The sequence below is a fragment of the Homo sapiens genome, chromosome 19 (genome assembly GCF_000001405.40).
Source record: "Homo sapiens chromosome 19, GRCh38.p14 Primary Assembly".
Classification (NCBI taxonomy): Eukaryota; Metazoa; Chordata; class Mammalia; order Primates; family Hominidae; genus Homo; species Homo sapiens.
The window spans coordinates 11,392,906-11,419,646 of record NC_000019.10 but is presented as its reverse complement, the minus strand read 5'-3'; the positions used below and the strand labels follow the sequence as shown (position 1 = coordinate 11,419,646).

Below are 26,741 nucleotides of genomic sequence, written 5' to 3'. Positions count from 1 at the left end.
TCAAGCTAGCCCCTTCCACTGGAGGACAGAGGACTCTGGTCTGGGGACACACACATGCCCCCACACAGGAGCTCCCCCACATCTGGGGATACAAAAAAGACCCCTTGGGGACAGATATGTCCTTTCTTCTGGGGACAGATTGATAGGCACCCAGCGGAAGAGCCAGGACCTCTCCTGGGCTGGCGCTGGGTCCGGCTGGAGGCACCCAGAGGCTGGGTCCGGCCTGCCCTGCCCCGCCCCGCCCCAGCAGCTCGGCCGCTCCGCCCCTCTGGCCTCAGCGCCCGGCCACTGCCCGCCGCCCGCCACCCGCCACCCGCCGGCCCTTCCGCCTCACTCAGCGGCGCCACTGAGAGGGACGGGCGCCGGCCATGGAGCGCACAGCAGGCAAAGAGCTGGCCCTGGTAAGGGGACAAGGGATCCCCGGACCCCGCATCCCTGGTGACCCGCAGGTCCAGAAACTCCAAGCGCCCGCCCGTCGGACGGTATCTGCTCCCAATCTGAACTTGCCCTGGAGTCCCCTCCTGGGGACTCGCGGCCCTTGACCCAGTGAAGCGACTGGTTCCTCTTAGGGATGGGGGCGCGAGTCTCTGAGCGCAGTCGGCAGAAAGAGCTAGAGACAGGTTCTATTAGACTGGGCCCTGGGACATCCCCAAATGCCACCCCATGTCCTCAGGACCTGGGAGGAGGGGACCCGCAGCGAGGAGGGGACTAGCCTGGGACCCCAGCCCTAGTCTCGCAGCTTCTGGCCGGGAAGGGGCGTGGGGATGCAGCAGGAGGACTCGGCCCGAGTCCGAGCGGCCAAGGAGGCTGAGGCCCCAGGACCTGTGCCCCTTTGGTGCCCTGAGTCCGCCTGTGCGTCCAGGCACCGCTGCAGGACTGGGGTGAAGAGACCGAGGACGGCGCGGTGTACAGTGTCTCCCTGCGGCGGCAGCGCAGTCAGCGCAGGAGCCCGGCGGAGGGCCCCGGGGGCAGCCAGGTGAGGAGGGGGTTTGGTGGGTGGCGCGGGGCCGGAAGCGACCAGTTGAGGGCGGAGCTGGAGAGCCGAGCACAGGCCGCCAGGTGCAGTGGGCGGAAGGAAGGGAGGGGCTCGGAGGCGACCAGATGAGGCGACCAGGTAGAAAGGGGACTGGGGGCGGCCAGGTAAGTGGGGGGAGATCCAGGGAATGGGGTGGGGCCAGGCGATGGCCGCGCAGTTCCCGAGAGGAGCCTAGGGACAACTTGGTAAGGACAGAACTGGACGGCAGAGTTGGGAAAGGCAGGTTTAGAGGGCCGGGGCTGGAAGGTGGAATGGGGTTGGTTTAGAAGTGGCTAGGTGAGGGCGGATGGGGCAGCCAGTGAAGCGCGACAGGAGGGCTGAGGGAAGCCCTGGGTGGAAAAGAGTGTGTGGGGCGGGGGCGGGGGGGTGGGGGGAGGGGACGGGAGGGGGAGGGGACGGGAGAGGGAGTAGGGGACAGGGCATGGGAGAGGGAGGGTTTCCAGGGCAAGTTGCAGGAGCTATTTGTGGATGGGGAGGAACAATAACTTCAAGCGGGCAGGGAGTGGGGCACACACCTATAATCCCTGCGCTTCGAGAGACCAAGGCAGAAGGCCAGGAATTGGAGACCAGCCTGGACAACACAGCAAGATTCTCTCTAATAAAAATAAAAATTAAAAAACTAGCTGTGCGTGATGATGCCCAGCAGTGGTCCCAGCTACTCAGGAGGCTGGGGCAGAGGGACCGCTTGAGTCTAGGACTTGGAGGCTGCAGTGAGCTATGATTGTGCCACTGCACCCCAGCCTGGGCAACAAAACAAGACCTGTTTCTAAAAAAAACAAACCAAAACAATAACTCCAAGAAGCCGGGAGACAGAGGAATCACATGAAAGAATGGTGCTACAGGCGGGGCGAGGTGGCTCACGCCTGTAATCCCAGCACTTTGGGAGGCCGAGGCAAGTGGATCATCAGGTCAGGAGTTCAAGACCAACCTGGCCAAGACGGTGAAACACCGTCTCTACTAAAAATACGAAAAAACTAGCTGGGCTTGGTGGCGGGTGCCTGTAATCCCAGATACTTGGGAGGCTGAGGCAGAGAATTGCTTGAACCCAGGAGGCGGAGGTTGCAGTGAGCCAAGATCACGCCACTGAACTCCAGCCTAGGTGACAGAGTGAGATTCTGTCTCAAAAAAAAAAAAAAAAAAGTGGTGCTAGGGGCTGGGCACGGTGGTTCACGCCTGTAATCCTAGCCCTTTGGGAGACTTTGGGAGGCCAAGGGGGGCAGATTACTTGAGGTCAGGAGTTCGAGACCAGTCTGACCAACATGGTGAAACCCTATCTCTACAAAAATACAAAAATTAGCTGGGCTTGGTGGTGTGCGCCTGTAGTTTCAGCTACTTGGAGGCTGAGGAAGGAGGATTGCTTGAACCCAGGAGGCAGAAGTTGAAGTGACCCAAGATCGTGCCACTGCACTCCAGCCTGGGCAACAGAGTGAGACTCTGTCTCAAAAAAAAAAACAAAAAAAAAAAGAGTGGTGCTAGTGATGAATGTGACTAGAGAAGGGGTGCTGTGAGGACCACTCCTGCTCTCTCATGGCCACCTCTCCCCTCCTGCAGGCTCCCAGCCCCATTGCCAATACCTTCCTCCACTATCGAACCAGCAAGGTGAGGGTGCTGAGGGCAGCGCGCCTGGAGCGGCTGGTGGGAGAGTTGGTGTTTGGAGACCGTGAGCAGGACCCCAGCTTCATGCCCGCCTTCCTGGCCACCTACCGGACCTTTGTACCCACTGCCTGCCTGCTGGGCTTTCTGCTGCCACCAATGCCACCGCCCCCACCTCCCGGGTCAGTAGCGAACCATAACCTCCGTATTCTCCACCCTAGAACCCCAACTGGGCACCCCCCTCCACCTCCTCAGGTGTGGAACCTGGAAACACCTCCCAGACCCAGAGCCCTCTTCCTAAGCCCCCTCTAGGTTCCCCCTTCTTCACCTGCTGGGGGGCCTCTTCCCAGGGTAGAGATCAAGAAGACAGCGGTACAAGATCTGAGCTTCAACAAGAACCTGAGGTGGGTCCTTCATCCAGATAGGGGAGTGCGGGGAGGGAAATCCAAGAGGTCAAAGGTTAGCAGTCGGACTGGGGTTTTGAAAATTGCAGGTTGGGTAATAAGAGACTGGGAGTCAGGTGGGGCGTGGTGGCTCATGCCTGTAATCCCAACACTTTGGGAGGCCGAGGCAGGTGGATCACTGGAGGTCAGGAGTTAGAGACCATCCTGGCCAATATGGCGAAACCCTGTCTCTACTAAAAATACAACAACAACAAAAAAAGGTAGCTGGGTGTGGTGGCGCATGCCTGTAGTCCCAGCTACTCGGGAGGCTGAGGTTGCAGTGAGTCAAGATCAGGCCATTGCACTGCAGCCTTGGTGACACAGTAAGACTCTATCTCAAAAAAAAAAAAAAAAAAAAGGTACCAGGAGTCATATTCTATGTCCCCCACTCTGGACCCAGCTCTGAGACCCTGCCTCTCTGGCCAGGGCTGTGGTGTCAGTGCTGGGCTCCTGGCTGCAGGACCACCCTCAGGATTTCCGAGACCACCCTGCCCATTCGGACCTGGGCAGTGTCCGAACCTTTCTGGGCTGGGCGGCCCCAGGGAGTGCTGAGGCTCAAAAAGCAGAGAAGCTTCTGGAAGATTTTTTGGAGGAGGCTGAGCGAGAGCAGGAAGAGGAGCCGCCTCAGGTGTGGACAGGTGAGGGGTTTTCAGATCCAGTCGTGTTCTGAGAAGGCCTTTCCTGTCTGCTTCTTCCCACACAGGCTTTCTCTCCCCTCTCAGAGCTACAAAACTTAAGCAAGATTTTAAACTCTAAGCCTCAATTTCTTCATCTTTACAATGGGGATAATAATTCTTTGTCAGCCGGGCGTGGTGGCTCACGCCTGTATCCCAGCAGTTTGGGAGGCCAAGGATGGTGTATCACCTGAGGTCAGGAGTTTGAGACCAGTCTGACAAACATGGAGAAACCCCATCCCTACTAAAAATACAAAATTAGCCGGGCGTGGTGGGGCATGTCTATAATCCCAGCTATTCGGGAGGCTGAGGCAGGAGAATCGTTTGAACCCGGGAGGCGGAGGTTGCGGTGAGTCGAGATCGTGCCATTGCACTCTCGCCTGGACAACCAGAGCGAAACTCCGTCTAAAAAAAAAAACAAATTCTTTGTCTGAAGTATTAGCATGTGTCTAATACTTTTCCCTCCTTGGTGCCGTTGGGTCAGGATGCTCTGTGTTTCTAGCTACAAACCATTGCCTTGATACTTGTCTTTATTTTCTTTTTTTTGAGTCAGGGTCTTGCTCCGTTGCTCAGGCTGGAGTGCAGTGTCTCCATCATGGCTCAGTGCAGGCTCAACATCCTGGACTCAGGTGATCCTCCCGCCTGGGTCTCCAAAACTGCTGGCATTACAGGCGCGAGCCACTATACCTAGCCTGTAAAATTTTTCTTATTTTTGAATTTCTTTTTAAATTTAATTTAATTTAATTTTATTTTTTTATCTATTTTTTTTTTTAGACAGAGTCTCGCACTGTTACCCAGGCTGGAGTGCAGTGGCACAATCTTGGCTCACTGCAACCTCCACCTCCTGGGCTCAAGCCATTCTCCTGTCTCAGCCTCCTGAGTAGCTGGGACCACAGGCGCATGTCACCACGCCCGGCTAATTTTTTTGTAAAGGTGAGGTTGTGCCATGTTGCCCAGGCTGGTCTCAAACTCCTGAACTCAAGTGATCTGCCTGCCTTGGCCTCCCAAAATGCTGGGATTACAGCCATAAGCCATTGTGCATGCGTAGCCTCCTTACTTGATTATTGGCTTTTGCTCATCTCATAGGCTGTGAGTGCATGAGAGGAGGACCTGTTGTTCTTGCTCCCAGCTCTGTCCCCAGGGGCAGGAACAACACAGATTAGTTTGCTGAATAATTGCATCCTGCTTAGGAAGTATCATCTTTCACCCATCTGTATTTGATCTGATCCACATCACAAAAGCATCTCTATCCCTAATCCCCATCGCTTAATCTCCAGATTATAGTGGCCACCTTCCTGTCCAATTTACAAAGTAGCAGCCACTTCTCTATCCCTGGTGACAAAGTCTCAGTTATTTATATATATATAAAGGTATATATATATATATATATATATATATATATATATATATGAAGGTGTATATATATATATATATATGAAGGTATATATATATATGTATATATATGAAGGTATATATATATAAAGGTATATATATATAAAGGTATATATATAAAGGTATATATATATATAAAGGTATATATAAAGGTATATATATATAAAGGTATATATATATATATGAAGGTATATATATATATGTATATATATGAAGGTATATATATATAAAGGTATATATATATAAAGGTATATATATAAAGGTATATATATATATAAAGGTATATATATATAAAGGTATATATATATATAAAGGTATATATATATAGGTGTATATATATATATATATATATATATATATATATATATATATATGATTTCTCCAGCTGATTCCAAGTCATTAGAGCTCCATAGTTCACTGTGGTATCCACTAGCCCCTGTCGCTATTTAAATTAATTAAAATTGGCTGGGCGCGGCGGCTCATGCCTATAATCCCAGCACTTTGGGAGGCCGACGGGGGCGGATCCCAAGGTTCGGAGATCGAGACCATCCTGGCTAACATGGTGAAACCCCGTCTCTACTAAAAATACAAAAAAATATTAGCCGGGCGTGGTGGCGAGCGCCTGTAGTCCCAGCTACTCGGGAGGCTGAGGCAGGAGAATGGCGCGAACCTGGGAGGCGGAGCTTGCAGTGAGCTGAGATCAAGCCACTGAACTCCAGCCTGGGTGACAGAGCGAGACTCTGCCTAAAAAAAAAAAACCAAAAAACAAAATTATAATAATAATTAATTAATTAATTAAAATTAAATAAAATTCAGGTCTTTTCTTTTTAGAGATGGGGTCTTGCCATGTTGCCCAGGCTGGTCTCGAACTCCTGGGCTTAAGCAATCCTCCAGCATCAACCTCTCAGAGTGCTGGGATTGTAAGTGTGAGCTACTGTGCCTGACCCTGCCCTTTTTTTTTTTTTTTTTTTTTTGAGACGGAGCCTCGCTCTGTCACCCAGGCTGGAGTGCAGTGGCGCCATCTCGGCACACTGCAACCTCCTCCTCCCAGGTTCAAAAGATTCTCCTGCCTTAGCCTCCCAAGTAGCTGGGATTATAGGCACCTGCCACCACACCCAGCTAATTTTGTATTTTTATTAGAGACAGCGTTTCACTATGTTGGTCAGTCTGGTCTTGAACTCCTGACCTCAGGTGATCCACCCACCTCGGTCTCCCAAAGTGCTGGGATTACAGGCGTGAGCTACCATGCCTGGCCCGCTTTTTTTTTTTTTTTTTTTCTTTTTCAAAATCCAGTCAAGCAAAGGCAAAAATTCAGGTCTTCAATCCCACTACCCACATTTTGAGTGCTCAGCCACCACACTGGACATAGCAGATAGATAATTTTTCCACCATTGCAGAGAATTATATGGAAAGTGCTGCCCTAGTTTCTTTGAGGTCAGAGGAGAAAATTAACATTTGTTTAAGACCTTCTATGTGCTAGGCCCTGGGACACACTTTATTTCATTTTATTTTATTTTATTTATTTTTACTTTTATTTTATTTTGAGACAGAGTCTCGCTCTGTCGCCTAGGCTGGAGTGCAATGGCGCGATCTTGGCTTACTGCAACCTCCACCTCCTGGGTTCAAGTGATTCTCCTGCCTCAGCCTCCTGAGTAGCTGGTACTACAGGCGCCCGCCACCAGGCCCAGCTAATTTTTTGTAGTTTTAGTAGAGACGGGGTTTCACCGTGCTAGCCAAGATGGTCTCGATCTCCTGATCTCGTGATCCGCTTGCCTCGGTCTCCCAAAGTGCTGGGATTACAGGCGTGAGCCACCGCACCCGACTATGAATTTTATTTTTAGATACAGGGTCTTGCTCTGTTGCCCAGGCTGGACTCGAACTCCTGGGCTCAAGTGAGCCTCCTACCTCAGCCTCCTGAGTAGCTAAGACTACACTTGCACCATGTAGTTTAGAAGAAAGTAGATGACCACCATGCTCATCTATTTTATTTTAACAACTTTATTTTGGGTTCACTTTTTGCTATGGAAAATTTCAGACATATACAAAAGTAGAGAGAATAGTATGAAGAACATTCAGACATCCATCACCTATCATCAACGATGATCAATTTCACAAAAAAATATTTTCAGGATGATTTTAAAACAAATCCCGGGCTTATGTCAATTCATACATAAATGTTTTGGGTACACATGTCTGACAACAGGCTTACTTTTTTTTTTTTTTTTTTTGAGACGGAGTTTCGCTCTTGTTGCCCAGGCTGGAGTGCAATGGCAGGATCTCAGCTCACCTCAACCTCTGCCTCCTGGGTTCAAGTGATTCTCCTGCCTCAGCCTCCCGAGTAGCTGGGATTACAGGCGTGCACCACCACACCCGGCTAATTTTCTATTTTTAGTAGAGAGGGGGGTTTCTCCATGTTTGTCAGGCTGGTCTCGAACTCCTGACCTCAGGTGATCCGCCCACCTTGGCCTCCCAAAGTGTTGGTATTACAGGCGTGAGCCATGGCGCCCGGCCCTTTTATTTTTATTTTTTAATAACCTTCATGTTCATACTTAAAAAAAAATCAGAAATATTTGATATAAAAAAAATCCAATCCAGGCCAGATGCAGAGGCTCCTGCTGGCGATCCCAGCATTTTGGGAGGCCAAGGCAGGTGGATGGCTTGAGCCCAGGAGATTGAGACTAGCCTGGGCAACATGTTGAAACTTTGTGTCTACAAATAATTAGCTGGGCATGGTGGTGACTGCCTATAGTCCCAGCTGCTTGGGAGGCTGAGGCAAGAGGATCATTTTAGCCTGGGATGGTCAAGGCTGCAGTGAGCCGTGATTATGCCACTGTACTCCAGCCTAGGTGACAGAGCGAGACCCTGCCTCAAAAACAGAAAAAATACCCAGTCTATATTCAAATATTCAAATCCCCTGTTTGTGCCTGAACCTTTTTTTGGACACTGGGTTTTCCTATTTTGCCTGGGCTGGGCTTGAACTCCTGACCCTCCCACCTCAGCCTCCTGAGTAGCTGGGACCACAGGTGCCCACCATGGCACCCAGCCCTAAATTTTCTTTTGACAGTTGTTTCTGGCCAGGTGTTGTGGCACATGCCTATAGTCCCAGCTACTTAGGATGCTGAGATGGGAGGATCTCTTGACTCCGGGAAATCAAAGCTGCCGTGAGCTGTGAGCATGCCCCTGCACTCCAGGCGATAGAGCTGGGGGAAGGAGGAATAGTTGTTTCTTCAAATTGAAATCCAAAGATCTACTCAAGGTATTTGGTTGTTTGCTTCTCTTTTTTTTTTTTTTTTTTTTTTTGAGATGGAGTCTCACTCTGTTGTCCAGGCTGGAGGGTAGTGGCGTGATCTTGGCTCACTGCAACCTCCGCCTCCTGGGTTCAAGCGATTCTCCTGGCTCAGCCTCCTGAGTAGCTGAGTTTACAGGTGCCCACCAACACGCCCAGCTAATTTTTGTATTTTTAGTAGTGAGGGGGTTTCACCATGTTGGCCAGGCTGGTCTTGAACTCCTAACCTTTAGTGATCTGCCCACATCGGCCTCCCGAAGTGTCGGGATTACAGACATGAGTCACCACGCCCTACCGGTCGTTTGTTCCTAAGTCTCTTTTATTCTGTAACAGATCCCCCTTGCCTCTTGTTTGAAGCCATTAGAGGGCAAAAAAAATGGGTCATTTTTCCTGAGGTATGTCTCACATTCTTTTCGACTTACCTCATGGTTTCATGCAGCATGTTTCTCTATCCCCATAATTGCTGTAAGATTTAAAGGTTTGATTAGATGTAGGGCATTTTTTTTTCCAGGGCCCACTTTTTTTTGGGGTGGGGGGAGGAGAGACAGTTTCTTGCTCTGTCACCCAGGCTGGAGTGCTATGGCATGATCACAGCTCACTGCAGCCTTGACCTCCTGGGCTCAAGAGATCCTCCCTCCTAAGCCTCTTGAGTAGGTGGGACAGCAGGTGTGCATCAGGATGCGCAACTTTAAAAATTTTTTTATGTAGACATGGGGTCTCACTACGCCGCCCAGGCTGGTCTCAAACTCCTGGTCTCAAGCAATCCTCCTACCTCAACCTCCAAAAGTGCTGGGACTATAGGTGTGCCCAGCCCAGTACCCACTTCTAAAAACTAATATTTTGCAATGCCACCTGTCCTAATTCAAGATGAAAGAGGTAATTACACAGATTTACAAAGATTATTTTAAAATAATAGTATTGGGGCAGGGTGCTATGGCTCATGCCTGTAATCCCAGCACGTTGGGAAGCCGAGGCAGGAGGATCACCTGAGGTCAGGAGTTCGAGACCAGTCCGGCCAACATGGTGAAACCCCATCTCTACTAAAAAAAATAAAAAATAAAATAAAATAAAATAAAAAATAAATAAATAATAAAAAAATATATATATATTTAAATTAGCTGGCTGGGCATAGTGGCACCTCCTGTAGTCCCAGTTGCTCAGGAGGCTGAGGCAGGAGAATTGCTTGAACCCTGGAGGCAGAGGTTGCAGTGAGCCGAGATCGAGCCACTGCACTCCAGCCTGGGCGACAGAGCAAGACTCCATCACAAAATAAAAAAATAAAATAAAATAATAGTATGATGCCATAACTAGTACAAAGGAGAAGGAAAGTGAGAGTAACTTACACAGCAATAAACCATGTTTTCAATGGGTAATGCTTGGGTATGCCCCACTAGGACACATGATGAGGTTGTCCCGTGTCTTTGCCTGTCCTAGCGTCACAGTAGAGTGTCACGGTGCTGTTGTACTGACAGCAACAAGCACCAACGAACGCACAGGAGGGCACTGGTGAGGCAAAGACAGCAACATAGGTTCTGGGGACATCATTTTCCAAACTTGTGAACAACATTTGCAATTTGCAAACAAAACAAAGCCCAGACTTTCGTGGTCCTTGCATTCTTGGAGCCAAAAAAATTTGTGTTTATGAACAAAATAGTCAGGTTCTAGGTGCATATTATTGCAAACATGTTTTTCTTTTCTTTTTGTTTTTGTTTGTTTGTTTGTTTTGTTTTGTTTTGTTTTTTGAGATGGAGTCTCGCTCTGTCGCCCAGGCTGGAGTGCAGTGGCATGATCTCGGCTTACTGCAAGCTCCGCCTCGCCGGTTCACGCCATTCTCCTGCCTCAGCCTCCTGGGTAGCTGGGACTACAGGCGCCCGCCACCACGCCTGGCTAATTTTTTCTATTTTTTAGTAGAGACGGGGTTTCACCATGTTAGCCAGGATGGTCTCGATCTCCTGACCTCGTGATCTACCCGCCTTGGCCTCCCAAAGTGCTGGGATTACAGGCGTGAGCCACTGCCCCCGGCCTTCTTTTCTTTTCTTTTTTTTTTTTTTTTGAGACAAAGTCTCTGTCACCCAGGCTAGAGTGCCGTGGCGTGGACCTGGCTCACTGCAACCTCCACCTTCTAGGTTGAGGTGATTCTCTAGCCTTAGCCTCCCGAGCTGGGATTACAGGCACTTGCCACCATGCTCAGCTGATTTTTGTATTTTTAGTAGAGACAGGGTTTCGCCATGTTGGCCCGACTGGTCTCGAACTCTTGACCTCAAGTGATTCGCCTGCCTTGGCCTCCCAAAGTGCTGGGATTACATGTGTGAGCCACTGTGCCAGACCCCTTCTTCCTTTCTTAAAGACAAGTCAAGTGCAGTAGTGAGAAGGGGGGAAAGAGTAGAACAAGGAGTTCGATCTGTAACTGTGAACAATCAATTGAGATAAGTCACTACCTTGGGACCAGCCACAAACAGGTTTTTCAAAGACACAAATGTCTGGAGATACATTTGGAGGCTAGAGGGCACAATTCAGGATCCCAGTTTCCAAAGTTTCCCCTCCAGGGTGCCACCATCAAAATCCACTAAAGTAAAATTATTCATATTTGTTCAGCACTTTATAGCAGTCTGGTAGCATGATCTTTTTTTTTTTTTTTGAGATGGAGTCTCGCTCTGTCGCCAGGCTGGAGTGCAGTGACACGATGTCGGCTCACTGCAAGCTCCGTCTCCAGGGTTCAAGCGATTCTCCTGCCTCAGCCCCCCGAGTAGCTGGGATTACAGGCGCGTGCCATCACGCCCGGCTAATTTTTGTATTTTTTTTTAGTAGAGACGGGGTTTCACCGTGTTGGCCACGCTGGTCTCGAACTCCTGACCTCAGGTGATCCACCCGCCTCGGCCTCCCAAAGTGCTGGGATTACAGGCGTGAGCCACAGCGCCCGGCAGCATGATCTTAAACGAAAACAAAAACGAAATCCACAGCCAGGCGCACTGGCTCACACCCGCAATCCCAAAACTTTGGGAAGCCAAGAGGGAGGATCGCTTGAGCCCAGGTGTTTGAGACCAGCCTGGCAACATAATGAGACCCTGTCTCTACAAAAAATAAAAAATTAGCTGGGCATGGTGGTGTGTGCCTATAGTCCCAGCAACTCAGGAGGCTGAGGCAGGAGGATCACTGGAGCCCAAAAGGTTGAGGCTGCAGTGAACTGTGATCACACCACTGTACTCCAGCCTGGGTGACCAAGGGAGAGCCTGTTTCAAAAAGAAGGCACAGCTTACCCCTGCAATCCCAGCACTTTGGGAAGTCGAGGCAGGCAGATCACTTGAGGTCAGGAGTTCAAGACCAGCCTGGCCAACATGGTGAAACCCTGTCTCTACAAAAATACAAAAGTTAGCTGGGCGTGGTGGCTCGTGCCTGTAATCCCAGCTACTTGGGAGACTGAGGCAGGAGAATTGGTTGAAACCTGGAGGCGGAGGTTGCAGTGAGCCAAGATCACGCCATTGCATTCCAGCCTGGGCGACAGAGTCAGACTCCGTCTTAAAAAAAAAAAAAAAAGGCACAGAGAGGTTAAAATACATGCTCTACACAGCAAGCTAGTGGACGAGTTTGCATCTGAGTTTGAGACTTTCTGACAATAGCCTTCCCTGAACCAGGAAGTCGTATCACCTCTTTCCAAAAAAAAGAGGTCAGATTAATCTTATCCTAATACATGTTAAAAATCATAAAGCTCTATTTTCTTCTCTGGCCTTTGAGTACCCGGCTTCAAACCCCTGCCCTGCCATTTACCAAAGGTGTGACAAATTGTTCTTTGCCTCCCTTTCCTTAATTGTAAAAGGTGGATAAATAATAGTACCTCCCTCACTGGACTCACAGTAACTCAGTGGTGAGTTACTGAGTAAATCCACACTAGCTGCTTAGTGAACATTACTGTTGCTGTTACATCCTTAAAAACACTCAGGGCCAGGCGTGGTGGCTCACACCTGTAATGCCAGCACTTTGGGAGGCCAAGGCGGGCAGATCACTTGAGGTCAGGAGTTTGAGACCAGCCTGGCCAACATGGTGAAAGCCCGTCTCTATTAAAAATACAAAAATTAGCCGGGCATGGTGGCACATGCCTGTAATCCCAGCTACTCAGAAGGCTGAGGCAGGAGAATCACTTGAACCCAGGAGGCGGAGGTTGTGGTCAGCTGAGATTGCGCCATTGTACTCCAGCTTGGGCAACAGAGTAAGACTGTCTCAAAAAAAAAAAAAAATTTAAGAGAGCTCTCCGTTTTACAAATGAGGAAAGTGAGCCTCAGAGAGGGACAGGGACTCACCCAAGGTCACACAGCCAGTCTTGGATTCAAACTTGAGAGTTTGTAACCCTTTCTAATGATCAGGACCTCCCAGAGTTGCCCAAACTTCTGACCCAGACTCTTCAGAGGCCTGCGCGGAGGAAGAGGAAGGGCTCATGCCTCAAGGTCCCCAGCTCCTGGACTTCAGCGTGGACGAGGTGGCCGAGCAGCTGACCCTCATAGACTTGGTGAGGATCCCGGACAGGGTCGGGATGAGCCACAGTGAGGGGACAGGTTCTGCTAAGCACCAATCCCACACCCCTCCCCTGGCCCAGGAGCTCTTCTCCAAGGTGAGGCTCTACGAGTGCTTGGGCTCCGTGTGGTCGCAGAGGGACCGGCCGGGGGCTGCAGGCGCCTCCCCCACTGTGCGCGCCACCGTGGCCCAGTTCAACACCGTGACCGGCTGTGTGCTGGGTTCCGTGCTCGGAGCACCGGGCTTGGCCGCCCCGCAGAGGGCGCAGCGGCTGGAGAAGTGGATCCGCATCGCCCAGGTGTGTTGCGGGCGCGGAGAGGGGATGCGGGGGCGGGCCCTGGGGCAAGGGGAAAAAATGAGGGCTCCGGAGAGAGATAGGGGCGAGTCTAGGCGAGGGAGGGAACGGGGTGGAAAGTTGATACCTAGGGTGAGACTTGGGTTCAGGGAGGAGGGTCTGGGTCCTGCAGAGAGGCCGCGGGCACGACTAGGTCCCAAGGGAGCTGGGAGAAGTAGGGAGCCCGGACCGGAGAAGTCAAGGTCGGAGGCAGGGGCTGGAGGGGCAGCTGGGGAGGGGCTGGAGCCCGAGGGAGGAGGGAGGAAGGGAATCCTAGGGAATAAGTGGGAGTCTTGGTAGCTTGTCGGATGTGAGACAACACCCAGGGGTCCGACCTGGCGTCACAAGTCACGGGATCAGGCTGGGCGCAGTGACTCACGCCTGTAATCCCAGCACTTTGGGGAGAGGGAGGATCGCTTGAGCCCTTGAGTTTGAGACCAGCCTAGGCAACATAGTGAGACCAATGTTTCTAGAAAAAAAAAAAAAATTAAAAAAATTAAAAATGAGACTTACAAAAAAATTAGCCGGGTGTGGTGGTGTGCCCCTGTAATCCCAGCTACTTGGGAGGCTGAGGCAGGATAATCACTTGAACCCGGGAGGCGGAGGTTGCAGTGACTCGAGATCGGGCCACTGCATTCCAGCCTGGGGGATAAAGCGAGACTCTGTCCAAATAATTAATAATAATAATAATAATAAGCCATGCATGATGGCGCGCGCCTGTAGTCCCAGCTACTGAGGCAGGAGGCTGAGGCATGTGGATCGCTTAAGCCCAGGAATTCCAGGCAGCAAGTGAGCTATGATCGAGCCACTGCACTCCAGCCTGGGCCACAGACCCTATCTCTCAAAAAAAAAAAAAAAAAAAAAAAAAAAAAAAAAAAAAAAAAAAAAGATGAAGAAGTTTCAGGATGAAAGGTGGATAATGCCTGGGTCTGACCTGCGTCCCCACCGCCTGGCAGCGCTGCCGAGAACTGCGGAACTTCTCCTCCTTGCGCGCCATCCTGTCCGCCCTGCAATCTAACCCCATCTACCGGCTCAAGCGCAGCTGGGGGGCAGTGAGCCGGTGAGCTGGGGCGGGACCTGTTCCCCAGCCCATCCCAGGTCTGACCCTCCCAAGCCACTGACCCCTGACCACCCTTCTCCTGTCCTTCCAGGGAACCGCTATCTACTTTCAGGAAACTTTCGCAGATTTTCTCCGATGAGAACAACCACCTCAGCAGCAGAGAGATTCTTTTCCAGGTAGAGATGGATGCAGACTCCAGGGATTTTAGGCCCGGGAAGTCGGGGGAGGGACTTGGGGCCAGGCAGGGGTAATCTCCCTGCTATAGTCAGGACACTCTGTCCTTCCCTACCGCTCAGCAATGACCTTATCCTTGTCCCTGGCGGGTTGCACGTTTTTCTTTCCTCTACTTCCTGCGTTATAGTTGACTGTCAGTGACTGCCCTATTTATTCACTCAGCAAAACACAAGAAGTCACAAAGAAAAGGTTACTTAAGGCCAGAGTCATAGCACAGGGTGGGAACAAAAAAAATGTTCTGAGGACTTTACCTTGATAAGCAAAACTAAAAAATGTGTGTCAAAAGTCTGGCTTATTTATAGGCAAGATTTAGATTCTCATTGCAATCAGGCGCTGGTTTTTAGAGTGAATCTAGAATGGATCCCTGGGCCTGGAACATTCTCCACCCCTCCAGGTTTGCATGCAACTTGCTCACTCACCTCCTTCTGGTCTCTGATTAAATGTCCCTGCCTCTGAGAGGCCTTCCCAGCCTCCATCATCCCCAAAACCACACATCTGGTTTTTTGTTGTTGTTGTTGTTGTCGTCATCATTTGTTTTTTTGTTTCTTTGTTTGTTTGTATTGAGACAGAGTCTCGCTCTGTCACCCAGACTGGAGTGCAGTGGCACGATCTTGGCTCACTGCAACCTCCACCTCCCAGGATCAAGCAATTCTCTCTGCCTCAGCCTCCCATGTAGCTGGGATTACAGGCACCCACCACGACGCTTGGCTAATTTTTGTATTTGGTAGAGACGGGGTTTTGCCGTGTTGGCCAGGCTGGTCTCGAATCCCTGACCTGAGGTGATCCACCTGCCTTGGCTTCCCAAAGTGCTGGGATTACAGGCGTGAGCCATCACTCCCAGCCAAATTTCACCTGGCTAACAGAGTGAAACCCTGTTTTCCTGCCCAGCACCTAGAACAGCACGTGAGCTGGGCTCAGTGACTCACGCCTATAATCCCAACACTTTGGGAGGCCAAGGTGAGAGGATCACTTGAGCCCAGGAGTTCAAGACCAACCTGGGCAACATGGCAAAACCCCATCTCTGCAAAAAATACAACAATTAGCTGGGCGTTTGTGGTGCACGTCTGTAGTCCCAGCTATTCAGGAGGCTGAGGAGGGAGGATCGCTTGAACTTGGGCGGTCAAGCCTTCAGTGAGCCAAGATCAGGCCACTGCACTCCAGCCTGAGTGACAAAGTGAGACTCCATCTCAAAATAAAATGAAATAAAAAGTAAGTAAACAACAGCAAATTCAGGATACCCAGGAGATCCCTGGCAGGCCTGTGCCATCCAGCTGCGGACAAGGATTCTCTCCTTGTTAAGGCCAGCCCTGGGGGCCACTACCCACAAGCCCCACCTCTCATGGGGCCTGCTCCCTGCTGTTTATCTCCTCCCTACCCTCATCCAAGGTGGTCTGGCTTCTAGAGTGGGCCTTAACCCCTGGCTTCTTTTTTTTTTTTTTTTTTTTTTTGAGATGGAGTTTTGGTCTTGTTGCCCAAGCTGGAGTGCAATGGTGCGATCTTGGCTCACTCCAACCTCCGCCTCCCGGGTTCAAGCGATTCTTCTGCCTCAGCCTCCCGAGTAGCTGGGATTACAGAAATATGCTACCATGCCCAGCTAGTTTTTTATATTCTTAGTAGAAACAGAGTTTCACTCTGTTAGCCAGGCTGGTCTCAAACTCCTTACCTCATGTGATCCACCAGCCTCGGCCTCCCAAAGTGCTGGGATTACAGGCGTGAGCCACCATGTCCAGCCCTTTCTTAAAAAAAATTTTTTTGGCCGGGCACGGTGGCTCACGCCTGTAATCCCAGCACTTTGGGAGGCCCAGGCAGGCGGATCACGAGGTCAGGAGATCGAGACCATCCTGGCTAACACAGTGAAACCCTGTCTCTACTAAAAATACAAAAAATTAGCTGGGCGAGGTGGGGGGCGCCTGTAGTCCCAGCTACTTGAGAGGCTGAGGCAGGAGAATGGCGTGAACCCCGGGGGGCGGAGCCTGCAGTGAGCCGAGATCGCGCCACTGCACTCCAGCCTGGGTGACAGAGCGACACTCCCTCTAGAGTGCAGCCTCTGCTTCTCAGGTTCAAGCTATCCTTCTGCCTCAGCCTCCCAAGTAGCTGGGACTACAGGTGTGAGCCACCATACCCGGCTAATTTTTGTATTTTTAGTAGAGACAGGGTTTCACCATATTGGCCAGGGTGGTCTGGAACTCCTGACCTCACATGATCTGCTCGCCTTGGCCTCCCAAAGTGCTGGGATTACAGGCGTGAGCCATCGCACCTGGCCTACCACTGACTTTTGATTACTCAAAGCATGAAGGGTATATATGATGGGTCTGCAGGCATCGTTCCTGAGGAATTGTCCAAGGAGACCCCAGACCTGGCTCAGTTTTTCTCTTCCCTCAGGAGGAGGCCACTGAGGGATCCCAAGAAGAGGACAACACCCCAGGCAGCCTGCCCTCAGTGAGTGATTACAGTTTGGGATGGGGACAAGTGGGACCTTCAGGGAGGGTTGTGGATGGTGATGGGGTCAGTAATGGCCCCAAGTGACTGGAGCTTTGGGGGCTGCAGAAACCACCCCCAGGCCCTGTCCCCTACCTTGGCACCTTCCTTACGGACCTGGTTATGCTGGACACAGCCCTGCCGGATATGTTGGAGGTCTGACCCCTGACCCTTGACCCCTGACCCCAGCTCCACTTGCCCCCAGCACAATGGGCCTCCCAATATCCACCCTTGATCCTACCTGTACTCCTGACACCACCCCACACTCCCTTACTACAGTGGGGCTCCTGACATCCCAGCCCCTGACCTTGACCCTTGACCCTTGACCCTGGGTGCTGCAATTCAGACACACTTTGCCCCCAGGGGGATCTCATTAACTTTGAGAAGAGGAGGAAGGTGAGTGGAGGCTACAGTGGGTGTGGTGGTGCCTGAGGGTGGGGGTGGGGCAGGGGTAGGGTCTTAGAGGCTCGTCCTCCAGGAGTGGGAGATCCTGGCCCGCATCCAGCAGCTGCAGAGGCGCTGTCAGAGCTACACCCTGAGCCCCCACCCGCCCATCCTGGCTGCCCTGCATGCCCAGAACCAGCTCACCGAGGAGCAGAGGTGACCACCCTGTAGCCTGTCCCAGCCCCACCCCAGCTGAGCCTGGGTCACCAACTGGATTCCACCCACTCCATACACACCTCCAGCTCCTCCCAAGACCCCCTCTTGAGCCCTGATCCCCCACTACAACCTGTGACCTTGCAGTATCTCCAGTCGAATCAAATAGACTGGGCCTGGTGGTTTACTCGTGTAATCCCAGCACTTGGGAGGCCAAGGTGGGTGGATCACTTGAGCCCAGGATTTCGAGACCAGCCTGGGCAACATGGCGAAACCCCATATCTACAAAAAAATACAAAAATTAGCTGAACGTGGCTGGGCACGGTGGCTCACACCTGTAATCCCAGCACTTTGGGAGGCCGAGGCGGGTGAATCACATGAGGTAAGGAGTTTGAGACCAGCCTGGCTAACAGAGTGAAACCCCGTCTCTACTAAAAATACAAAAAAAAAATTAGCCAGGTGTAGTGGCAGGCGCCTGTAGTCCCAGCTACTTGGGAGGCTGAGGCAGGAGAATGGCGTGAACCCGGGAGGCAGAGCTTGCAGGGAGCCGAGATGGTGCCACTGCACTCCAGCCTGGGCAACAGAGCGAGACTCCGTCTCAAAAAAAAAAAAAAAAAATTAGCTGAATGTGGTGTTGAGTGCCGTTGGTCCCAACTACTTGGGAGGCTGAGGTGGGAGGATTGCTGGAGCCTGGGAGGCAGAGGTTGGAGTGAGCCAAAATCACGCCACTGCAGTTCCAGTCTAGGTGACAGAGTGAGACCCTGTCTCAAAAAAAAAAAAAAAAAAATAGTCACAATTGACCTCTGACCTCAATTTCAACCCCATCTGATTTTCTGACCTCAACTTTAGCATTCAGCTGGCCATTCAACTCAACTGTCCCATCTGTTGACTTCCCCATCTTTGGTCCTATCTGACCCATGACCTTATTCATGACCCCTCATCTGACTCTCTGACCCCAACCCTTGACCCTCAGTTCTGAGTAACTGACTCCAACTTTTATGTTTGACTGTCCAGCTTGACTATGACAACTGTGTCCTTTCTTTCTATATAACTGTGACCCTAACCATTGACCCCAATGGTGACCTGACCCCAGTCTGACCCTGACTTTATTTTATTTATTTATTTATTTATTTATTTATTTATTTATTTATTTATTTTTGAGACAGAGTCTGGCTCTGTTTCCCAGGCTGGAGTGCAGTGGAGTGATCTCGGCTCACTGTAGCCCCCGCCTCCCAGGTTCAAGCAATTCTACTGCCTCAGCCTCCCCGGTAGCCGCAATTACAGGCGCGAGCTACCACACCTGGCTAATTTTTTTTGTATTTTTAGTAGAGACGGGGTTTCACTATATTGGCCAGGCTGGTTTCGAACTCTTGACCCGAAGCAATCCTCTCGCCTCAGCCTCCCAAAGTGCTAGGATTACAGGCGTGAGCCACTGCACCCAGTCCTGACCCTGACTTTAATCCTGACCCAATTTGATTCCTTAGTGCCACCCTGTGAATCTCTTTGTGACCTCCTGACCAGCCATCCTGTCCCATCTCTGATAAGACCTTGATGCTCAATGACCCTCATTTACCACCCTGACCCTGGCATGTGGGGTGCCACCTCTGGCTGCTCCCCCTTACACCCCAAACCCACCTCCCAACTGATTCCAACTCTTATCTCTCCATCCCCTGTATTTCCTGCCCCCACCACCTCATCCACATATTGACCCCTCAGCTACCGGCTCTCCCGGGTCATTGAGCCACCAGCTGCCTCCTGCCCCAGCTCCCCACGCATCCGACGGCGGATCAGCCTCACCAAGCGTCTCAGTGCGTGAGTCTCGGGGTGTGTGTAGGGGCGGTGATGTGGGCAGATATCAGCAAGGGCTGCTCCTGCCTTAGCCTCATCCCCTGTCCCCATCCTTAGGAAGCTTGCCCGAGAGAAAAGCTCATCACCTAGTGGGAGTCCCGGGGACCCCTCATCCCCCACCTCCAGGTGAGCATTCTGCTTGGTGATGGGACTGGGGATCATGGGATCAGGAGTCAGCACAGCCACCCCACCTCAGCCTCTGCATCTCCCCCAGTGTGTCCCCAGGGTCACCCCCCTCAAGTCCTAGAAGCAGAGATGCTCCTGCTGGCAGTCCCCCGGCCTCTCCAGGGCCCCAGGGCCCCAGCACCAAGGTACCAAGACGGCTTGTGTGTGCATGCGGGCCTGCGGGCACCCAGGCTCTGTGTGTGTGCACGTGTGTGTGCATGCACATGTGTACACACAGGATTGTGGGGCCAGGAGTGTATACAGGAGGCACACTGAGCGCCCGGGGTATCCATCCAGGGGATTGCATGCATCTGCACGGCCCTGTTTGGGTGATCACTCATAAATCCGACTCGTGCTCAGATTTGGACCTGTGTAACTGCTTGCCCATGGGTCATCTAGGGTGCAATCACATCACACCCCTTTTTATTTGAAACAGGGTCTTCTTGCTCTGTCACCCAGGCTGAAGTGCAGCGGTGCAATCTCAGCTCACCGCAACTTCCACCCCTCCCCCAGGCTCAAGCAATCCTTCCACCTCAGCCTCCCAAGTAGCTAGGACCACAGGTGTGCACCACCATGCCCTGCTATTTTTTTTATTTAGTAGAGATGAGGTTTCGCCATGTTGCCCAGGTGGGTTTCGAACTCCTGAGCTCAAACAATGCACTCACCTCGGCCTCCCAAAGTGCTGGGATTACAGGTGTGAGCCACCGCACCCAGCCTACACTTTTTTGAGGACATGTATGTCCCTAAGAATCTGCATACCATGGCAGACACGGTGGCTATTGCCTGTGATCCCGGCACTTTGGGAAGCCAAAGTGGGAGGATTGCTTGAGGCCGGGAGTTCAAGACCAGCCTGGGCAACATAGTGAGACCCTATTTCTATTAAAAGTCAAAAAAATTAGCTGGGTGTAGTCCCAGCTACTCAGCAGGCTGAGGTGGAAGGATCGCTTGAGTTTGAGGCTGCAGTGAGCTACGATCATGCCACGGCACTCTAGCCTGCATGATAGAGCGAGATCCTGTTTATGAAGAAAAAGAGACTGGGCACGGTGGCTCACGCCTGTAATCCCAGCACTCTGGGAGGCCGAGGTGGGCGGATCACGAGGTCAAGAGATCGAGACCATCCTGGCCAACGTGGTGAAACCCTGTCTCTACTGAAAATAGAAAAATTAGCTGGGTATGGTCGCGCACACCTGTAGTCCCAGCTACTTGGGAGGCTGAGGCAGGAGAATCACTTGAACCCAGGAGACGGAGGTTGCAGTGAGCTGAGATGGTGCCACTGCACTCCATCCAGCCTGGTGACAGAGCGAGGCTCCCTCTAAAAGAAAAACAAAAAAAGAAAAGGAAATGAAGGAAATGAAGGCTGGGCATGGTAGCTCATGCCTGTAATCCCAGCACTTTGGGAGGCCGAGGCCAGTGGATCACTTGAGGCCAGGAATTTGAGACCAGCCTAGCCAACATGGTGAAACCCCGTCTCTACTAAAAATAAAAACATTAGCTGGGCATAGTGGCACAGGCCTGTAATCCCAGCTACTTGGGAGGGTGAGGCATGAGAATTGCTTGAACCTGGGAGGCAGAGGTTGCAGTGAGCTGAGATGGCACCACTGCATTCCAGCCTGGGTGACAGAGCAAGACTCTGTCTCAAAAAAAAAAGAAAAGAAAAAGAAAAGAATCTGTGTACCAGAAGAGGAAATGTGGGCCTGAGTATTCATGAGATCATGTGTGGGGTTGTTCATTGGCATGGGCTGTGGGTGTATAACCGCTGTCAGCATATGTATGTACACAGGATTTCTTGTGTATGAGCATGGGTTGTGTGTATATGGACACTGTTCATGTCTGTTTCTATAACAGGTAACCAAAGTCTGTATATGGTAGGGTGGTGTATATGCAGGCTTGTGAATGTACTCCAGTTGCATGTCCCAGGCTCTGCATGTGTAGGGGGTAGTAGTATGTTTTCTTGAGATTTTATTTTATTTTATTATTTATTTATTTATTTTTGAGATGGAGTCTTGCTCTGTCACGCAGGCTGGAGTGCAGTAGCGTGATCTTGGCTCACTGCAACCTCTGCCTCTCAAGTTCAAGTGATTCTCCTGCCTCGGCCTCCCAAGTAGCTGGGATTACAGGCATGCGCCACCAGGCCCTGCTAATTTTTGTATTTTTAGTAGAGACGGAGTTTCACCACGTTGGCCAGGCTGGTCTTGAACTCCCGACCTCAAGTGATCCGCCCACCTCGGCCTCCCAAAATGCTGAGATTACAGGCATGAGCCACTGCGCCCAGCCAATGTTTTCTTGAGATTTTAAATGTGGGGCTATTGAATGCACCAGTGGTGGCTGGGGTGTTCGTGCTTTTCTAGCCCTCAGCATCTGCAGATGGGCCAAGCTGTAGCCTCCACCCCTTACTGCCTGCAGCTGCCCCTGAGCCTGGACCTGCCCAGCCCCCGGCCCTTCGCTTTGCCTCTGGGCAGCCCTCGAATCCCCCTCCCGGCGCAGCAGAGCTCGGAGGCCCGTGTCATCCGCGTCAGCATCGACAATGACCACGGGAACCTGTATCGAAGCATCTTGGTGAGGGGCTGGGCTGGGGGTCTGCTGGAGGCTGCCCTGCCCTTGGGGCCGGGGCCCTCACCTCACCTCCCGCCCCTCTCTTCCAGCTGACCAGTCAGGACAAAGCCCCCAGCGTGGTCCGGCGAGCCTTGCAGAAGCACAATGTGCCCCAGCCCTGGGCCTGTGACTATCAGCTCTTTCAAGTCCTTCCTGGGGACCGGGGTGAGCAGGGATGGGTTGGAGCTCAGGATAGGGGGCAGCGGGGAGGCGAGCAGACTGACCACGCCCAAGGATGGAGCCCAAGGTTACCCGGGTTCACAGGGCTGTGAGGTGCTTCAGGCAGAGAGTAGGGGTAAGATAATCAGTGGAGGTAAGAGGACATAAAATACCTGTAACCCAACGATGTAGGGTCATGAGATTGTCTTGGCTCAGTGTGAGAGAGAGGTACCAAAGGTCATCTTCCTAAAATTTAAAAGACAATAAGATTGTCCAGGGTCCGGCCAGGCGCAGTGGCTCATGTCTGTAATCCCAGCACTTTGGGAGGTCAAGCTGGGCGGATCACTTGAGGTCAGGAGTTTGAGACCAGGCTGACCAACGTGGTGAAACCCCGTCTCTACGAAACATACAAAAATTAGTCGGGTGTGGTGGCACACTCCTGTAGTCCCAGCTACTCAGGAGGCTGAGGCAGGAGAATAATTGCTTGAATCTGGGAGGCGGAGGTTGCAGTGAGCCGAGATCATACCACTGCACTTCAGCCTGGGCAGCAGAGCGAGACTCTGTTTAAAAAAAAAAAAAAAAAAAAAGACTGTCCACGGACAAGTGACAGAAGGGAGTGTTTCTGACCTTCAATTTGTAGGATGGGCTGGGCATGGTGGCTCACAACTGTAATCCCAGCACTTTGGGAGGTCAAGGTGGGTGGATTGTCTGAGCTCAGGAGTTTGAGACCAGCCTGGGCAACATGAGGAGACCCCATCTATACAAAAAATAGAGAAATTGGCTGGGTGCGGTGGCTCAACGCCTGTAATCCCGGCACTTTGGGAGGCCAAAGCGGGTGGATCACTTGAGGTCAGGAGTTCGAGACCAGCCTGGCCAACATGGTGAAGCCCCGTCTCTACTAAAAATACAAAAAAATTAGCTGGGCATGGTGGCACATGCCTGTAGTCTCAGCTACTCGGGAGGCTGAGGCAGAAGAATCGCTTGAACCCAGGAGGCGGAGGTTGCAGTGAGCCGAGATCGCACCACTGCACTCCAGCCTGGCGACTGAGCAAGACTCTGTCTCAAAAAAAAAAAAAAAAAAAAAAAAAAAATATATATATATATATATATATAGAGAGAGAGAGAGAGAGAGAGAGAGAGAGAGAGAGATTAGCTGAGCATGGTGGCATGTGCCTGTATTCCCAACTCCAACTACTGGGGAGGCTGAGGTGGGAGGATCACTTGAGCCTAGGAGGTGGAGGCTGCAGCGAGCTGAGATCACGCCACTGCACTCCAGCCTGGGTGACAGAGCAAGACCCTGTCTCAATTAAAAAAAAAAAAGGGGGCCGGGCATGGTGGCTCACGCCTGTAATCCCAGCACTTTGGGAGGCCGAGGCGGGTGGATCACGAAGTCAAGAGATCGAGACCATCCTGGCCAACATGGTGAAGCCTCGTCTCTACTAAAAATACAAAAAATTAGCCAGGCATGGTGGCAGGCGCCTATAGTCCCAGCTACTCAGGAGGCTGAGGCAGAAGAATCACTTGAACCCAGGAGGTGAAGGTTGCAGTGAGCCAAGATTGCGCCACTGCACTCCAGCCTGGCGACAGAGTGAGACTCCGTCTCAAAAAAAAAGAAAAAATAGATTGTCTAGGGTCGAGTGAGAGAAGGGAGTGTAGAAGTTTGTCTGATCTTAAGTTTGTAGCATCATGAGATTGTTCAGGCTCAACCTGATGGGATGGGAGACTAAAGGGCATCTGGGCTTAGATTTGTGAGAACTAAGTTTGTTCACCACTGGGACCCTGAAGTTATCTGAACTTGGGACGGGAGAGAGGCAAATGGATAGCCGCGGAAGCATGAGATTGTCCTGTCTGACAGGGAGAAGCAAGGGATTGAGCGTATTCACGCTGAAGTACATGGCATGAGGTTGGCTGGATATTAGGAAAGGATGCTTGTGGTTGTTCAGGTGTTGAGTGTGAGGCCACAAGCTCGTGCAGGCTGGAAGTGGGAAGTTATTCAAGTTCATGGTGACAGCAGCATGGGATTGGCTGGGAGTGGTTGTGGGGGAGGGGTAGGGTGAGCAGGAAGTTGTTTGGCGGGGGGTGGTCTAGGGTGGTCTAAGTTTGCCCAAACTTTTACTGCAGGTTGTCGGTTTTGTTTGTTTTTGTTTTTTTTTTTTTGAGATGGAGTCTCGTGCTGTTGCCCAGGCTGGAGTGCAATGGCAGGATCTCGGCTCACCGCAACATCCACCTCCTGGGTTCAAGAGATTCTCCTGCCTCAGCCTTCCGAGTAGCTGGGATTACAGGCATGTGCCACCATGCCTAGCTCATTTTTTTGGTATTTTTAGTAGAGACGGGGTTTCACCATGTTGGCCAGACTGGTCTCGAATTCCTGACCTCAAGTGATCCACCCACTTCGGCCTCCCAAAGCGCTGGGATTACAGGCACGAGGCATCGCGCCCGGCCAGTTTGCTCAAACTTTTACTGCAGGTTGCCTTGTCTCTATGGTGAGGGGGAGAATATTAGGAGGTTGCCCAGGCTTATGATAAGGGAAGGCATGAGGTGGTGCAAGTTTTCAAGTGAGAAGTCGTCCAGGTTCCCAGTGACAGCAGAATGAGCTTGGCTTGGCAGTAGCTGCAGAGGGACCCATGGCTGTTCAGGTTCGCGGGTGAGTGGCAGGAGGCTCCCGGGTCCTCTGTGGGGGTGACACAAGGTTGTGAGGGCCTATTACCACCATCTCCACTCCTGACCAGTGCTCCTGATTCCTGACAATGCCAACGTCTTCTATGCCATGAGTCCAGTCGCCCCCAGAGACTTCATGCTGCGGCGGAAAGAGGGGACCCGGAACACTCTGTCTGTCTCCCCAAGCTGAGGCAGCCCTGTCCTCTCCACAAGACACAAGTCCCACAGGCAAGCTTGCGACTCTTCTCCTGGAAAGCTGCCATCCCCCAGTAGAGGCCACTGTGCTGTGTATCCCAGGACCACCACCCAACTGTAGCCCATTGGACCCCATCTCTTTTTCTGACTCTGTTGGTACTAGATCCATATTCCAAAGACATCAGCCCATGGGTGGCTGGTGGAGAGCTCAATCCCATAAATGTAGAAAGAGGTGGGGCATGGATACGTCAAATCCCTCCCCAGAGAAATCTTATAAATGTTAGAGACGCATCAGAAGTGACAGATGCGGATGAAAATAGTGACCAGAGTTATGAAACAGGTGTCAGTCTTGTTTATTTTGCGCCTGTGTGCCATGTTCACCCTTTATCAAGATAAAGGAAAACAGCTACCACACACACACCCACACACACACACACAAACACACAGAGAGAGAGAAACCTAAGAGCCAAGACCAGCCCGGGCAACATAACGAGATCCTGTCTCTACAAAAAATACAAAAATTTGGCTGGGCGTGGTGACTCACGCCTGTAATCCCAGCGTTTTGGGAGGCCAAGGCAGGCAGATCGCCTGAGGTCAGGAGTTCGAGACCAGCCTGGCCGACATGGCAAAACCCCATCTTCTAAAAGTACAAAAAATTAGCCGGGCGTGGTGTCATGCACCTGTAATCCCAGCTACTGGGGAGGCTGAGGCAGGAGAATTGCTTGAACCCGGAAGGTGGAGGTTGCAGTGAGTGGAAATCACACCACTGTACTCCAGCCTGGGTGACAGAGCAAGACCCTATCTCAAAAACAAACAAACAAACAAATGAACAAACAAAAAATTTTCTGAGTGTGGTGATATGAGACTGTAATCCTACCTACTTGGGAGGCTGAGCTGGGAGAATCACCAGAGCCCTGGGAGGTTGAAGCTGCAGTGAGCAGTGACTGGGCCCCTGCACTCCAACCTGGAGGACAGAGGGAGATCCTGTCTCAAAAACAAAAAAACTAAGAGCCCTAAGAAAGGTGTTGAGTCGGGTATGACACTCAACCCAGATGCCAGAGAGGATCCTGTCTGGCCGGACACAGTGGCTCAGGAGGGTAATCCCAGTACTTTGGGAGGCTGAGGTAAGAGGATTGCTTAAGTTCAGGAGTCCGAGAGCAGCCTGGGCAATACAGTGAGATCACATCTCACTAAATAAATAAATAAAGGATCCTATCACACAAAGAGGGTTTAGGACTTCCTTCCCCAACATTTTTGGGGTGATATGCCTCTTTTCTACTGTATATATGGGAGAGTGACTAACTGAAATTCCATCAGAATTAGAAACAAATAGCATCATTACCCATGAGTCAATAAGGGCTGTGAGGATGGGCCCTTTCACTTGCCCTCACCTTCTTCCTCTTCCTGTCACAGATAACCCATCTGTGCAAAGAAGAGAAAAAGAGGTTGGGTGTGGTGGCTCACATCTGTAATCCCAGCACTTTGGGAGGC

General features: G+C 51.4%; 1 protein-coding gene across 2 annotated transcripts, besides 2 other annotated features; it reads left to right on the top strand.

Moving 5' to 3' along the window:
• On the top strand, nucleotides 333–25,587 carry RGL3 (ral guanine nucleotide dissociation stimulator like 3). 2 transcript variants are annotated; one of them, NM_001035223.4, is made up of 19 exons: nucleotides 333–401; nucleotides 863–976; nucleotides 2,588–2,811; nucleotides 2,980–3,033; nucleotides 3,499–3,710; nucleotides 12,783–12,925; nucleotides 13,013–13,228; nucleotides 14,221–14,324; nucleotides 14,416–14,500; nucleotides 16,941–16,997; nucleotides 17,106–17,192; nucleotides 17,400–17,432; nucleotides 17,515–17,636; nucleotides 19,350–19,445; nucleotides 19,539–19,607; nucleotides 19,696–19,792; nucleotides 22,050–22,202; nucleotides 22,289–22,403; nucleotides 25,127–25,587. In NM_001035223.4, exons 1-19 carry the CDS (start codon nucleotides 369–371, stop codon nucleotides 25,243–25,245), a joined length of 2,133 nt encoding a protein of 710 aa, NP_001030300.3. In that variant the 5' UTR covers nucleotides 333–368; the 3' UTR covers nucleotides 25,246–25,587. The 2 variants fall into 2 exon arrangements, with proteins under 2 accessions (NP_001030300.3, NP_001155088.2); NM_001161616.3 differs by having other exon boundaries at nucleotides 19,678–19,792.
• Nucleotides 12,965–13,916: an enhancer, noted in NCBI's record as "H3K4me1 hESC enhancer chr19:11516407-11517358 (GRCh37/hg19 assembly coordinates)". NCBI's record gives its function as "activates a minimal SCP1, AML or CMV promoter by ChIP-STARR-seq in primed H9 embryonic stem cells {active_cell/tissue: H9 hESC(primed)}" and the evidence as "EXISTENCE:reporter gene assay evidence [ECO:0000049][PMID:30033119]".
• Nucleotides 15,790–15,981: a silencer, noted in NCBI's record as "fragment chr19:11514342-11514533 (GRCh37/hg19 assembly coordinates)". NCBI's record gives its function as "represses an EF-1alpha promoter that drives an FKBP-Casp9 reporter gene in an ReSE screen in HepG2 liver carcinoma cells {active_cell/tissue: HepG2}" and the evidence as "EXISTENCE:reporter gene assay evidence [ECO:0000049][PMID:32094911]".
• Nucleotides 25,588–26,741: the final 1,154 nt, after the last annotated feature.